Genomic DNA, 15,494 nt, shown 5'->3' with positions numbered 1-15,494 from the left:
AGAAGAAAATGGAAACCAGATGTGTGTGCCGTGGGGGGAAAATCTACTCAAGACGGGGGCATTAGCACCTCATTCCCACTATTCTCAGCCATGGCTTCGGATCACTGGAGGGGAGAAGGGCAGGGGGCCTCCCAGCTGCCTTTTTCACTCAGAAGAGAAGAGAGGGGAAGAGAACCTTCCAGATCAGTAGAAAGCTCCAAGCCCTCTGGGAATTCTGGGCTGAACAGACAGAACAAAACAGGAGTTGTGCTGGTCAGGGCCAAGACACGGAGGCCCAAGGCATGAAATTGCTGAGACAAGATCACATAGCATGGCCATTTCGGCAAGATGCGGCCAGTCCTTTGTTCTCCCCCTGGAGTTCCGCCATTGTCATTCCTTCCAAGCAAAACTCCCCTCCCAACCCTTGGTGAATATGAAGCTGCTCCTGGGAAGAGCACAATGTTAAGTCATTTCCAGCCATCCCACTGTGACAGCAAATTAGGTGGTCACAGATCTCTAATTTTAAAGTGGAGAATGATCTCCCATAATCTAGCCTAGTGGTTCTCAATCCTGGCTGCATATTCAAACCACCTGGGGTAGATAGGGAGTGGGGCATTAAAAAAGAAAACACACAGGTGTCCCGGTGCAAGCACAGAGTCTGCTTCAATTGATTGGGGTGGGGCCAGACAATATCTTAAAGCATTCCAAGTGACTCTGTGGTGCAGCTCCACCCAGCCTCTCTCAAGTGCCCCTTTAGCCCTGCTGCTTACAGCCTCTGGCCCCGCAGCATGGGCAACACCTGGGAGCCTCTTAGGAAAGCAGAATCTCAGGCCCCACACTAGACCTCCCAAATCAGAATCTGCACCTGAGTAAGACCTCCAGGTGATTCCCATGCACGTTTAAGTTTGAAAAGTACTGACTTTCCAAGGAAATACTGACCTTGGTTCCCACCTTATCCCGCAGGCCTCTGGACAGAGCAAGCTTCATATTATCTCTCTTCCTTTACCACCCCAACAATCTCCCCCACTGTTCCACCTCCCCGCAAATCCTTTTCAACTGCAGAGGCCGCTTGTCTGCTGGTGGGAAGAAGCAGAGCATGTTTGTACCGGGAGCCCTCTGTCTGCCCAGCCCAGGAGGTCCCAGACCTCTCCCTTCAGAGAGAGCATGTGAGTGATTTACTGCCACAGAAACTGGGACGGAGGGGTGGGGGTGCCAGGGATAGGGCATGGGCTGGCAGCCAGCCTGACCAAACACTACACAGAGGCCACCACTGGGACCCTCGAGAAGTCACACAGCTTCAAACATGCATTAACCATACGCAGAGAAGGATGGGCTGTTTTGTTTTCCTCTTTTAACAAGCGAGGCTTGTTCCAGAGACTGGGACCATATGTTGTCAGGGCTGTTCTGGACCAGGCTGCACCTGCTGATTCTGTTCTCAAGACCCAAACATCCCAGCATGTCCCCACCCTGGTGCTACCCACCCCTGGCTCTGTGCCCTTCCCCACAACCCCATTAGAGTGACCCTGGGCCCATGAACTCCAGGTCATAGGGTCACAATCACAGGGTGAAGCCAGCAGGGCACTTTCTTGTTGCTGAAAGCTCCTCCAACACTGGTCCTGAGATGCCAGGATAAAGCATGGCCATGCAGGAGGTGAGGGCTGGCAAGTGAGGAAGGACATTTTTAGGGAGGGTCAGTGTGTTAGAGATGTTTTCTCAACTGTGTCAGTCCTGAAAGGGAATGATCTTCTGTTTTCTCTGAAACATTAAAGAACTGGGGACAACAGAGGTGACTAAAGGAGAATGAGTAAGGAATACAGAGAAAAATCAGTGACAGATGGATGAAAGGATGGATAGAGAGTGGATGACTAGGACTTCTAACTCCAACATTATGGCAAACTAGATATTTAGAAAGGCCCTCTTGCTAAAGAACTAGAGCCTGGATATGTGATAACACATATTTTAAAACACATTTCTGAGCTTGCAGAATGTTAGGGAAATATTCAAAAAAGGAAAGAACTCACAAGGAGCTGAAACCCAAAGGTGATGAGATGGGAGAGTTCCCTTGACCCCCTTGTGGGACTTGTGAGAGGGGTGGCTCATTTACTTGGACACCACCCTCAAACGCCTTGCAGTTGGGGAAGTACACAGGTGAGTGGGTGCAGGAGCCAGGGCAAGTGCCTTTGGGCACTGGCAGGAACAAACCCCATACCAGCTCCCGGCAGTGTCTAGGGGTTGCCCTCAACCTCTGGAGTCCCAGAGGGTATGTGTTACAAACAATGCTCTTAGCTTTGCCGTCCGTGGACTGCTTAAGTGTTAAACAGCTCAGTGAAGAGTCAGTGTGACAGCCTTTTTGGGTTCCGCACCCAGTGCATCCCAAATTCTTGTCTGGCATCCAGGAAGAATCAGGCCACAGGAACAGACTGAAGGGTGGTGTGTGCAGAGGATTTTATTGAGTGATGGAAGTGGCTCTCAATGGGACGGGGAGCTGGAAAGGGGATGGAATGGGAAGATAATCTTCCTTCTCCGAACATCCCCAGCTGAACTCCTCTCCAACCGTAGTCTCCAATGTCTAGCCGCCTCTTCTCTCAACATTCAGACACTTCTCTTCTGTCCTCTGCCACACCACTCTGCTCCTCTTCCAGTGGAGTTTGGTGTTTTTATGGGTACGGAGTTGGGGGCGTGGCAGGCCAGAGTGGTTTTGGAAAAGGCAACATTCGGGTGGGAAAACAGGAATGCATCGTCTCATTTAGGGCTGCAGGTCCAGGCTTGAGGATGGAGCCCTCACCAGGGACCCCACACTCTTATACCCACTATTTCCCTGCCTTCTGTCCATATCAGTGATATTGACCTGAGGGTAAATACATTTATTGGCAATAGCAGAGAGCCACCTGCAAGTTGGAGGAGCTGAAATGGATACTCCTAAATAAAGTCTGGGACAGAGGTTCCAGGTCAGAAGTACTTCTCTGACTCTCAGCCAAACAAGCAAAAATCACCTCTAGAGGAAGGCATTCCCACCTGAGAGACTTGTGATGCCCAAAGACTAAGTCACAATCACAAATTAGCAAACACGTAAGGATACAAGTCACCACAGATTTAAATCCTTAAAGACTACAAATGTTGGAATTCTCAGATATAGACAATTAAATAACTGTTTGAAATATTTAAAGAAATACAAGATGGAACTGTGAAAGGAAAGCATCTTGGGCCCCCAAAATCACTAAGGAAAACTCATGCTGGAAACTGCTTAGGGCAAATCTGCCTCCCATTCTATTCGAAGTCACTCCTCTGCTCACGGAGATAGATGCATGTCTGATTTGCCTCCTTTGGAATGGCTAATCAGAAACTCAAAAGAGTGTGTTTGTCTATCACCTATCTGTGACCTGGAAGCTCCTTCCCCCACATTGAGTCTTCCTGCCTTTGCTTCAAGTTGTCCCACCTTTCCAGACGGAACCAATGTACTTCTTACATATATTGATTGATGTTTCATGTCTCCCTAAAATGCATAAAACCAAGCTGTGCCCTGACCACCTTGGGCGCATGTCGTCAGGACCTCCTGAGGCTGTGTCATGGGCGCATCCTCAACTCTGACAAAATAAACTTTCTAAATTACCTGAGGCCTGTCTCAGATTTTCTGGGTTCGCAGAACCAAAAAAAAAAAAAAAAATGAGCAAAGAATAGGAGACTAACAAAAATGACCATGCCATGAGAAGGTAGCAAGGTCTAGACTTTTTCTCCCTTAGTAAACAACTAGAAAACTGGGGTGGAAATGTATAGAACAACTGTTTTAAGATGTAGGTTAATAGAAAACCCAGCACTTGAAAGAATACAAACAGATCAGATCAACCTTACCCCAATTTTCTGCATGGAGGCAATTTCTGGAATGCAAAACAGGGTGGGAGAATTCAGAGTTCAGTGGTCTCACTGAGCTGAAGAGATTGAAATGTAAGTCTGGGGAGGCTGAGATGCCTGCAATTTGCAGGGCAGAGTACCAGAGAAAAGGAGGTTATGCAGAGAAAGGGCTCCAAGAGTCTGCATGGAATCCCCTCAAATCCTTGGCTAAATTCCAGTCTGTGCAGCATCCCAAGGCTGAGCAAAGAACACCAGGAGAAGGAACAATTACCAGGAGATGTAAGCTGAAAAAATCCCAATGCTCACACAGGGCTAGGAATCATTGAGGCTTTTGTGGGTTTTTTGTGTTTGTTTGTTTCTTTACCTATTTGTTTTCATACAGCTATCCTATTATTTTGGCATCTTTTACTGAAAAATATGTCTCCCATCATTATTTCTGTTCAACATTTTGCAGGAAGTCTTAGCCTCTGCAATAAGTTAAGAATAAAAGCATCCAGATCAGAAAAGAAGAAGTATAACTGTCTTTATTTCAAACATTGCAATTGCGTACTTTGGAAATCTCAAGAAACATATAAAGAAGTTACTAAAATGATAGGTGAGGTGAGCAAGGTTGCAGGATACAAGGTTACTATATAGAAATCAATTACATTTCTATATACTAGCAATGAATAACTGGAAGTTGAAGTGGAAAAATGCCGCTTACAATAGTATCCAAACATACTTAGAAATAAATGGAATGAAATATGTGTAAGACCTACACACTGAAAACTACCAAACAAATGGAAACTATTTTGTGCTCATAGATCAGAAGATTCAATACTGTAAACATGTCAATTATTCCCTATTCTACAGATTTAATGTGTGAACCCCAAATATCTGACACAGATCTCAGTCAATTTAGGAAGTTTATTTTGCCAAAGTTAAGGATGCGCGCCCAGGAGACAGCCTCAGGAAGTCCTGGTGACAAGTGCCCCAGGTGGTTGGGGAACAGTTTGGTTTTATACATTTTAGGGAGACATGAGACACCAATCAATATATGTAAGGTGTACATTTGTTCCATCCAGAAAGGCAGGACACTTGAAGTGGGGAGGGAGCTTCCAGGTCACAGGTAGATAAGAGACAGATGGTTGCATCTTTTGAGTTTCTGATTAGCCTTTCCAAAGGAGGCAATCAGATATGCATTTATCTCAGTGAGCAAAGGGATGACTTCGAATAGAATGGGAGGCAGGTTTGCACTAAGCAGTTCCCAGCTTGACTTTTCCTTTCAGCTTAGTGATTTGGGGTCCCCAAGATTTATTTTTTCCTTTCACAAATGTAAACCTAATAAAATCCCAGAAGGCTTTTTTTGGGTAGAAATTAACAAGCTGATTCTAAAATTTATATGGAAATACAAAGAATCTGTAATAGCCAAAAGAGTATTGAAAAGAAGAGCAAAGTTAGAAATTTAAACTGATTTCAAGTCTTATTTTAAGCTAAGGTAACCATGATCATATAATCTTAGCATAAGAATAGGCATATTTATAGATCAATAGAACAGAATAGAAAATCCAGATATAAATTCACATGCATCTGGTAATAAATTGATTTGACAAAGATTCTAAGACACTTTAATGTGGAAAGAATTTCCTTTTCAACAAATGGTGCTGCAGCAATTGGATAGCCATAGAGGAAAAAAAAAAATCCAACTTCGGCCTCATTGCTTCACACCACGCATAAAAATACTCAAAATGGACACAGACCAAAGCACAAAAACTAAAACTTCTAGAAGAATATATAGGAGACAGTTTTTTTGCCCTTAAGGTAGGACACAAAAGAGCATAAACCATGAAATAAAAAAATTCATAAGTTGGACTTAATTAAAATGGATTTTTTCTGCTCTTGGAAAGATATCTTAAGAAAATGTAAAGATCCAGCCTGGGCAACATAGGGAGACCCCATCTCTACAGAACACTTAAAAAAATTAGCCAGGTGTGGTGGCATGTGCCTGTGGTTCCAGCAACTTAGGAGGTTGAGGGGAAAGGGTTTCTTGGGCAACCTTCCAGTCTGTGCAGCATCCCAAGGCTGAGCAAGGAACACCAGGAGAAGGAACAATTACCAGGAGCTGTAAGCTGGGAGGTCTGGGCTTCAATGAGCCATGATTGTGCCACTGCACTCCAGCCTAGGTGACAGACCTAGACCCTGTGAAAAAAAAAAAAAAAAAAAAAAGAAAGAAAATGAAAAGGCAAGCCACCCACAGGGAAAAAATACAATATGTATAGCCAACAAAAGGCTTACCTTCACAATATATCAAGAACTCTCAAAACTCATAATAAGAAAAGCAACCCAATAAAACATGGGTAAAAATGTTGAATAGACACTTCATGGAAGTGTTGGAAGTAAATGCTCGGTGCCACAAAGTGAAAATAGCACTCAGGCAAAAGTTTTCTCAGCAAGGCAATTTACTTCTATTGGGTAAATTGGAGCAATGGCAAGAGCACACCAGACAAGAGAGGGGAAAGGGGTTCTTATCCTAATGCAGCTAGTCCCTATTGCTGTGTCTTTCCCCTATTGGTTAGGGTTGGACCACACAGTCTAAGCTAATTCCGACTGGCTGTTTTAAAGAGAGCAGGGATATGAGCCAGAGTGGCAGGGTGAGTAGTTTCGGTGGGAAGGACAGTTACAGAGCAGGTGACTAAGGGTGCCTAAGGACAAAACAGGTGATAGAGGCTAGGAAGGGGTTGTTTACTAAAACTAGGGGCAAGGAGGGTAAAGAACAAGGAAGTTAAATTTTAAAATGGAGAACAAAGAACAGGGAAGCTGAACATACTGACATATTGGTTCTTTGAAGAGGAACTCAGAACTCATTGTACTTAACAGTTTTTCTCCCTCTTGAATTTTAAAGGAAGTTAACAGGCTAAACTTTGAAGAGGAATTTACTGTATCCTACAGAAGAAAATAGGCAAATGGACAACAAACACATGAAAAGTTGCTCAACTTGATTAGTCGTAGGAGAAATACGAATTAAAACCACAACAAGTTAAGTTCCCACCACAGACTTACCCAGATGGTTAAAATGGAAAGATTGACAATACCAAGCATTGATGAGGATGTGAAGCAACTGGAACTCTCTCTTAAGTTGCTGGTAGGAATGTAAAGTACTACAACCACTTTGCGGGAAAGTTTGACAATTTCTTAAAGAGTTAAATGTACATACTCCACAACCCAGTCATTCCATTCCTGGGAATTTACTCAAGAGAAATGTAAACATGTGTCCACATGAAGACTTGCGCCTCAATGTTCAGGACAGCTTCGTTCATAACAGGCCAAAACCTAATAGGCCATAACAGGAAACTGCTCATGTGTTCACAACGAGTGAATGGATAAACAAATTGTGGTATATACATGCTGTGCAACGCTACTTATCCATAAAAAGTAACAAACTACATGTACACACAGGGGCGTGAATGAATCTCACATGTTATGCTGAGTGTTTTGAATTGTGTCCCCCTATAAGATATGTTGAAATCCTAACCCCTGGTACTTGTACACGTGACCTTATCTGGAAATAGTCTTTGCAGATGTAATCAGGTTAAGATGAAGTTATGCTAAATTCCTGAAAGGCACATGGGAATAGAGAAGAACACCATGAGAAAATGGAGACAGGGATTAGGGTTACACAGCCACAGACCAAACCGTTCCAAGAATTGCCAGCAACCACTAGAAACCGGAAGACAGGCATGGGATGGAGTCTCCCTCAGAGCCCCCAGAAGGAACCAACTCTACTGACAACATAATTTCAGACTTCTGGCCTCCTGAACTGTGAGAGAATACATTTCTGTTGTTTTAAGCCACCCAGTCTGTAGTACTTTGTTAAAGCAGCCTAGGAAATTAATACAGTGAACAAATGAAGCCAGGCACAAAAGAATACATATGTACCATTCTGATTTTAATGAAATTCTAGAAAAGACAAATCTAATCTATAGTGATGTAAGACAATGATTGGGGCTGGGGTGAGGATTTATTGGAAAATGGCATAACGGATCCTTTGAGGGCGATAGAAATGCTCTCTCTCTTGATTGTGGTGGTGACAGTTACACGGTGTATATACGTTTGTCAAAACTCAACAGATGGTACACTTAAAATGGGTGACAGACTACAAATGAACCCAATTGAACTGTTGGAGAAAAAATGTATGATTGTCCAAATTAAGAACTCAATGTATGTTGGGTTGGAGTCTGAGATATCAGTATGAACTTATATTTATTTTGATAGAGAAAGAGAGAGAGAGAAATAGTGTCTCAGTCTGTTTTCTGTTGCTATCTGTTCTGAATACCTGAGACTGCAAAATTTATAAAGAAAAGAAATGTATTTCTTACAGTTCTGGAGGCTGGGAGGTCCAGGGTCTAGGGGCCACATTTGGTGAGAGCCTCCTTGCTGGTGGGCTCTCTGCAGAGTCCTGAGGCTGTGCACAGCATGATAGCTCAGGTCTCTCTTCCTATTCTTATAAAACCACCAGACCTGCTCCCATGATAACCCATTAATCCGGTAATCCATGAGTGAATTAATCTATCATGAGGGCAGCCCTCATGAGCCAATCTCCTCTGAGAGGGTTCACCTCTCAATACTGCCACATTGGGGATTAAGCTTCAACATGAGTTTTGAAGAAGACAAACATTCGGATCCTAGTAGATAGATAGAAAGCTACCTGGTAGATGGAGGTATGTGTTTACATGGATTAGTATATATGCATAATTTTCTAGCTCTGTCCACTGAGAGGAACTAGAAGCAATGACACCCAGGGGCAATAAGGACACTTCATGCCCAGGTATTGGTTTCTAATTGCCAATGTCCAATAAAAGGAACCTCAATAAAATGTGTGATGCTATGTCAAGGGCAGAAAAAATATGAGATGGACCTAAAGCACCTTGTGCCAGAAAGTAAGGAAGTACTTTATGTTAAAAAAAATCAAAAGGCACAAGAGCCACACTGAATGAGCTTCCTATAGCCAAAGCTGTAACAATTTGAGCAACAAAAAAAATCTGATATAAATAAATGATTTAATAATAAATAAATGCTAGAGAAGAGAGAACCCTGTTTTTGATTTTTGGTTTTTTTCTTTTTTAGACAGGTTCTCGCTCTGTTGTCCAGGCTGGAGTGCAGTGGTGCGATCTTGGCTTACTGCAACCTCTCCCTCCCAGGTTCAAGTGGGTCTCGTTCCTTAGCCTCCACAGTAGCTAGGACTACACGTGTGAGCCACCATGCCTGACTAATTTTTGTATTTTGAGTAGAGATGGGGTTTTGCCATGTTGCCTAGGCTGATCTTGAACTCCTGGTCTCAAATGATCTGTACGCCTCAGCTTCCCAAAGTGCTGGGATAACAGGCATGAGCCACCGCACCTGGCCAAGAGAACCCTTTTTTTAATAGAAGAATTCTGATTAGTGAATGAGGACAATAGAGAATTAGAAGATGACAGTAATGACGTCTGCAGTCAAGATACATTGACTAATGCTAAAATTAGTGGGCAAACTACAGAAAGAGGATATTTGCATAGCTTCAAATTATCACCCTTCAAACACTTATTAATTACTGTGGGGGCTTTAACATATGTCCACAAATTCTTTGATGCACCTCTGTACGGGAGTTTAGCTTAGCTCTCCTCTCCTTGAGGGGGGCTGGATTTATGTCTCCCTTCTAAGTAATAGCTAGGGAAAGGGAAAAATAGTAACACTGATCACGGAGAAACCTGGCAGATGCCATCTTAACCAAGTGATCAAGGTTAACATCATTAGTGATAAGACATTGATATCATGTACTCTCTAGTGGGATGCTATAAGAAGGGCATATTACCTCTGTGGTATTCTTCCTCCAGATGTCCATAACTCCAGTCAAACCATAAGAAAACATCAGAGAAATCCAACTTGGGGGCTGTTTTACAAAACATCGGACCAGCATTCCTCAAAATCATCCAGACCATGAAAGACAAAGAAAGGCTGCAAAACTATCACAAACTGGGGACCTAAGGAGACATGACAGTTAAATGCAATGTAATGTCATTGATTGGATCCTGAAACAGAAAAACAAAAAGACATTAGTGGAAAACAGAAAATCCAAATAAACTCTGTAGTTTAGTTAATGGTATTTTACCAACCTTAATGTCTTAGTTTTGACAATATAGCTATGTAAGATACTAATATTACCAGAAGCTGGAAGAATGGTACAGAGAATTCTCCATACTGTCTTTTCAACTCTTCTATAAATCTAGAAATTATTTCAAAATAAAAAGCTTTTAGACATAAGGTATAGCTCTTAAATACGTATATAGAGGAGGCATCAGTATGAAATTATGTACCAGGTAGCTCATATTCAGGTAAATGTGGATGCTCTATCACATATATTCCAGCATTCTCTATCAGCTCTCCCAGGGAGAGAGTGAATAGATGGAGAGAAATGCCATAGCTCATATTTTAATTACATTAAGAAAGCTGCTGTTTCTTTACCCTAAGCTAGAGTACCCTGTGGCATTTATTCTACATGGATCTCAAACTTTTGTTTAATGCTTTGTTTTTTTTAACTTTCAGATTTTTATATTGTTTTCCCAAATAGACTTTAAACTCCCTGATGACTGGAGATTGTGTTTTGTTTTATTTATTTATTTATGAGACAGAGTCTCACTCTGTCACCCAGGCTGGACTGCAGTGGTGCGATTTCGGCTCACTGCAACCTCCACCTCCTGAGTTCAAGCAATTCTCCTGCCTCAGCCTCCTGAGTAGCTCGGATTACAGGCACGCACCACCACACTCTGCTAATTTTTGTATTTTTAGTAGAGATGGGGTTTCACCATGTTGGCCAGGCTGGTCTCGAACTCCTGACCTTGTGATCCACCCACCTCCGCCTCCCAAAGTGCTGGGATTACAGGAGTGAGCCACTGTGCCAGGCCTGGAGATTATGCTTTAAATTCAGTGCCTTCTCCTATTTACTTATCTATTTATTTAAGAATGGAGCTCTAGGTCTACACCTTCATAGGTGGTTTATAATCTTGCATGTATCATATACCAAAATTTGCCTTCTGATTTGCATTATGCCATGAACTGAATTGTGTCTCCCCCTACAAACTCATATGTTGAAGCCCTAACCTCCAGTGTGACTGTATTTGGAGATGAGCTTTTAGGAACTCATTAAGGTTAAATGAGGTCATGTGGGTGGGGCACTATCTAATAGGACGGCAGCTTTCTAGGAAGAGGAGGACAGAGAGATCTCTTTGCCATGAGAAGACACAGTGAGAAGCTGGTCCTCATTTTCTCACCAGGAAAGAGCCCTCACGGGGAACTAAATTGCTGCACCTTGATCTTGGACTTTCCAGTGTCCAGAACTGCAAGAAATAAATCTGTTGTGAAGCCATTCACTGCATGGTATTCGCTATGGCAGTCTGAGCTAACACATTTTGGGTTGAACTTAGTGTTTATTTTCCCTCAAATTGTTTTCAGCCAAGGGTGGTACTTCTTGCCTTCCCCCTGCCTCATGTTATTTGGAAAGGTCTGGGGCATTAATTGAACTTGGACTTTTAGTTGGGGAAACTAAAGGATGATAAAAGTCTCATAATTTATAAGACAGCCCTTCAAAACAAAGCATTTCTCACTCAAAATGACAATTGCACCCTCAGTATTGGAAGCAAACAAACAAGAGAAAACAGTAAATGGCTAAGCAGCAGATTAGACAAAGTTGAAAAGATAATTCATGAACTAGAAGATAGAGCTAAAGAAATAACCCTGGCTGGGCACAGTGGCTCACACCTGTAATGCCAGCATTTTGGGAGGCCGAGGCAGGTGGATCACTTGAGGTCAGGAGTTTGAGACCAGCCTGGCCAACATGGCGAAACCCTGTCTCTACTAAAAATATAAAAATTGGCCAGGTGTGGTGGCACCCACCTGTAGTCCCAGCTACTCAGGAGGCTGAGGCAGGAGAATTGCTTGAACCCTGGAGGTGGAGGTTGCCGTGAGCTGAGATCATGCCACTGCACTCCAGCCTGGGCAACAGAGCAAAACTCTGTCTCAAAAAAAAAAAAAAAAAAGGAAAGAAAGAAAGAAATAACCCTGAAAACAACAGAGAGAGAGAAACAGTATACTTGAAAGGTTCAGAGATGTAGACAATAGAATAAAGTATATGACACAGATGTAATCAGAGTCCTGAAAGGAGACAATAGAAAGAATAGAAGAGAGGGATCATTTTGAAAGAGTGCTTGAGAATTAGATACACAGATCTACAGATAAAGGAAGACACATTTCATTTTTGTTTGTTTGTTTTATACTTTAAGTTCTAGGGTACATGTGCACAACGTGCAGGTTTGGTACATAGGTATACATGTGCCATGATGGTTTGCTGCACCCATTAACTCGTCATTTACATTAGGTATTTCTCCTAATGCTATCTGTCCCCCAGCCCACCACCCCACGACAGGCACCAGTGTGTGACGTTCCCCACCCTGTGTCCAAGTGTTCTCATTGTTCAATTCCCACCTATGAGTGAGAACATTCGGTGTTTGGTTTTCTGTCCTTGTGATAGTTTGCTCAGAATGATGGTTTCCAGCTTCATCCATGTCACTGCAAAGGACATGAACTCATCCTTTTCTATGGCTGCATAGTATTCCATGGTGTATACATGCCACATTTTCTTAATCCAGTCTATCATTGATGGACATTTGGGTTGGTTCCAAGTCTTTGCTATTGTGAATAGTGCCGCAATAAACACACGTGTGCATGTGTCTTTATAGTAGCATGATTTGTAATCCTTTGGGTATATACCCACTAATGGGATGGCTGGGTCAAATGGTATTTCTAGTTCTAGATCCTTGAGGAATCACCACACTGAAAGGAAGACACATTTCTAATGTATATGCATCATACATCCAACAGAATGGATAAAAAGAAATCCACACCAGGTCCTACTGAAGGGAGATTTTATATCACCAAAGATAAAGAGAAAATCTTGAAAGCAGCCAGACAGAAAAGACCACTCATCTACCGAAAAATTACAATTAGATTGCCAGCTATCAGCCATGGGAGAGGCCAAAAGATAGGGGGAAATACCTTCCAAATGCTGAGGAAAAAATTAATCATCAGCCCAAAGTTTTATATGCAGCAAAACTATCTTCCAAAACTATCGTTTCAAAAAATATATATTTCAGGTAAATAAAAACTTAGGGTTTTCCACTAACCTTCATGAAAGGAACTCTTAAGGAGGCTGTACTTTAGGAGCATCATGAATCTTGTTTCCTTTAGTAATGGAAATAGCCCCAAAGCAGGAGACAGAAGAGCCAGTTCCTAGCCTTGCCTCCTGCATTAAAGCAGGGTAAGATCTTCACAACATCATGTCATTTTCAGAGCCTTCAGTTTCCTCAGCTGTTACATGAAGGTGAGGAAAGCTTTCTCGGCTTATTTAAACCATTGCTGAAAGGTGATGATTCTCGAAGTATGGTCTAAGGTCCCCTGGCCATTTCAGGGGGTCCCACAAGGTCTTCCCTTTTCCAACCACATATCCATATGAGACCAGATTTTCTTCCAAAAACAGCCCGCAGGAACAGTTTGAAGGCAGAAACAGGTACGGGAACCTCAGCGTGTCGTATTAAGCCAGACATAAAGGAGGTTTTCCACAATGTAAAACGATGCAGCAAATGACTTGATCCACCTGGCTGAAAGGACAGGCATAGATAGCACCAATAGGAGAAATGTCACATTTGAGAGTCCCTGTGCTCACTGTCGAGTCAGAGGATATAACACAAACCAGTGGTCTCCCGCTGCCTCAGCTCACATCCCACTGCAAAGGAAGTTCTCCTGACAGCATGTCTGCTGGGTTCCCAGAGCCTGGCTTTCTACCTGCACCAACAAGGAAGCCAGCCAGCAGAATGGCAAACAGGTTTTTCTTCCAGGGAGAGGTGGAATGTGAGAGTGGTGGGTTAAATGCTCTGATACAGGTGTGTTTCCCTGGGAAGCAGGCAGCCAGTTGGTGTGGATAGCTGGGTGGGCGGGTGCAGGGCTGGGTGGATGCAAGTCTGAGAGCCTGGCTGCTGGGACGCCCTACAGCATCCCAGCTCATAGATCTTGTCCTTGCCTTATCCCATCCAACTTCCCTGAGGGGTTTGGGGTTTAAAAAATATACAAATCTTACATTTTTCTCTGATATATTTTTTTTTTTTTTGAGATGGAGTCTCACTCTGTTGCCCAGGCTGGAGTGCAGTGGCTCAATCTTGGCTCACTGCAACCTCCGCCTCCTGGGTTCAAGCGATTCTCCTGCCTCAGCCTCCCAAGTAGCTGGGACTACAGGCACGCACCACCACACCCAGCTAATTTTTGTATATTTAGTAGACACGGGGTTTCACCATGTTGGCCAGGATGGTCTCAATCTCCTGACCTTGTGATCCGCCCACCTCGGCCTCCCAAAGTGCTGGAATTACAGGCATGAGCCACCACACCTGGCCTCTCTGATTTTTTAAAATAGCTTTTTTGTGGTAGAAGACACATGACAAAAAATTTATCATTAGCGACATTAAAATACACTCACAATGTTGTACAACCATCTCTCTGATTTGGCTCTTATTTAAGTATTATTACATGCTTGTTATGTAAGGGACGAGGAAAAAGTAGAAAGAAAGAAGTAAAGATTATCCAAAAGTTTACTCTCTGAATACAGCCATAGTTAATACCTGAGGCCACTGCTCCCAAACCTTGCACTGAGGCCCCTGGGGGCACCATCGCCAATTCACAGAGTGGCTGCAGGGATATTTTAAATTTTGTGGGAAGTACAGTGACACCTGCCGGATGCTCCGCACACTACCAGTTTCAGCTTTAGGGCCCACTACATTCCTTTCAGTGACATCATATCTTTGCGAAGTGTTTTGGTGGTTGCTGTGATAAAAAGCAAATACCATGTGCAAATCATTGTGGACCAGGAAATGAGGTGATGGCATCCGATATGATTCCAAGGTTTGAGAAACCATGCAGTACCCAACATATTATACATCCCATTAGTAAATAACTGTGGTTAAGAATGGAATAAAAATATCTTTTCCTTTATGTGTATTTTTAGATGGCTACAAAGTTGTTAGGACAGACATACACATTGATTTATTTAGACCTAACTACTTAATAATGGATCTCTTTGGTGTTTCTTTTGGTCTTGGGGGCACATAAGTAATAAAAAAATTACTGTGACACTAAGGGTGCTATGGAAAGAGGAAGTTTGGGAGTCTCCATTCCAAGGCATTTACATCTAACTTTCCGGTGTGTCCAAAAATGACTATATTAATATCTTAATTAAGCTCATGTGTGGATACAATTTTATAGTGAATATTACCATCAATCAGTTGAAGAAACTGGGCTCCAGAAAGGAGCAGTCACACAGCTAGCCGGGTCCCTGTTTGTCACACCTTGCTGATTCACTCTTTAAAAGCCCCAAGATGGCAGATCTCAAGAGCCAGCCTCACCAATCAACATTTACGAGGCTTAGAATCACCCTGTCTTACTTTAGGCTGTTGGCATGGTGCAGCCCCTGATTCACTGATAAATCAGAAATGCCCCAATCTTCCCTCATTACCCTGGAAGTTCATCCACCCTTCGACATAAGATTCTCATAAATATATAGCAGATGACTCTGGAAAAATAAATCCATTGAGCTATTATCAACCACGGATACC

At 42.8% G+C, this 15,494-nt stretch overlaps 1 annotated feature.

Moving 5' to 3' along the window:
* Positions 678 to 1,177: an enhancer, noted in NCBI's record as "H3K4me1 hESC enhancer chr10:71469507-71470006 (GRCh37/hg19 assembly coordinates)". NCBI's record gives its function as "activates a minimal SCP1, AML or CMV promoter by ChIP-STARR-seq in naive H9 embryonic stem cells {active_cell/tissue: H9 hESC(naive)}" and the evidence as "EXISTENCE:reporter gene assay evidence [ECO:0000049][PMID:30033119]".

This window comes from Homo sapiens, chromosome 10 (genome assembly GCF_000001405.40).
Source record: "Homo sapiens chromosome 10, GRCh38.p14 Primary Assembly".
In the NCBI taxonomy this organism is placed as follows: domain Eukaryota; kingdom Metazoa; phylum Chordata; class Mammalia; order Primates; family Hominidae; genus Homo; species Homo sapiens.
This window is presented reverse-complemented; position numbering and strand designations above follow the sequence as displayed.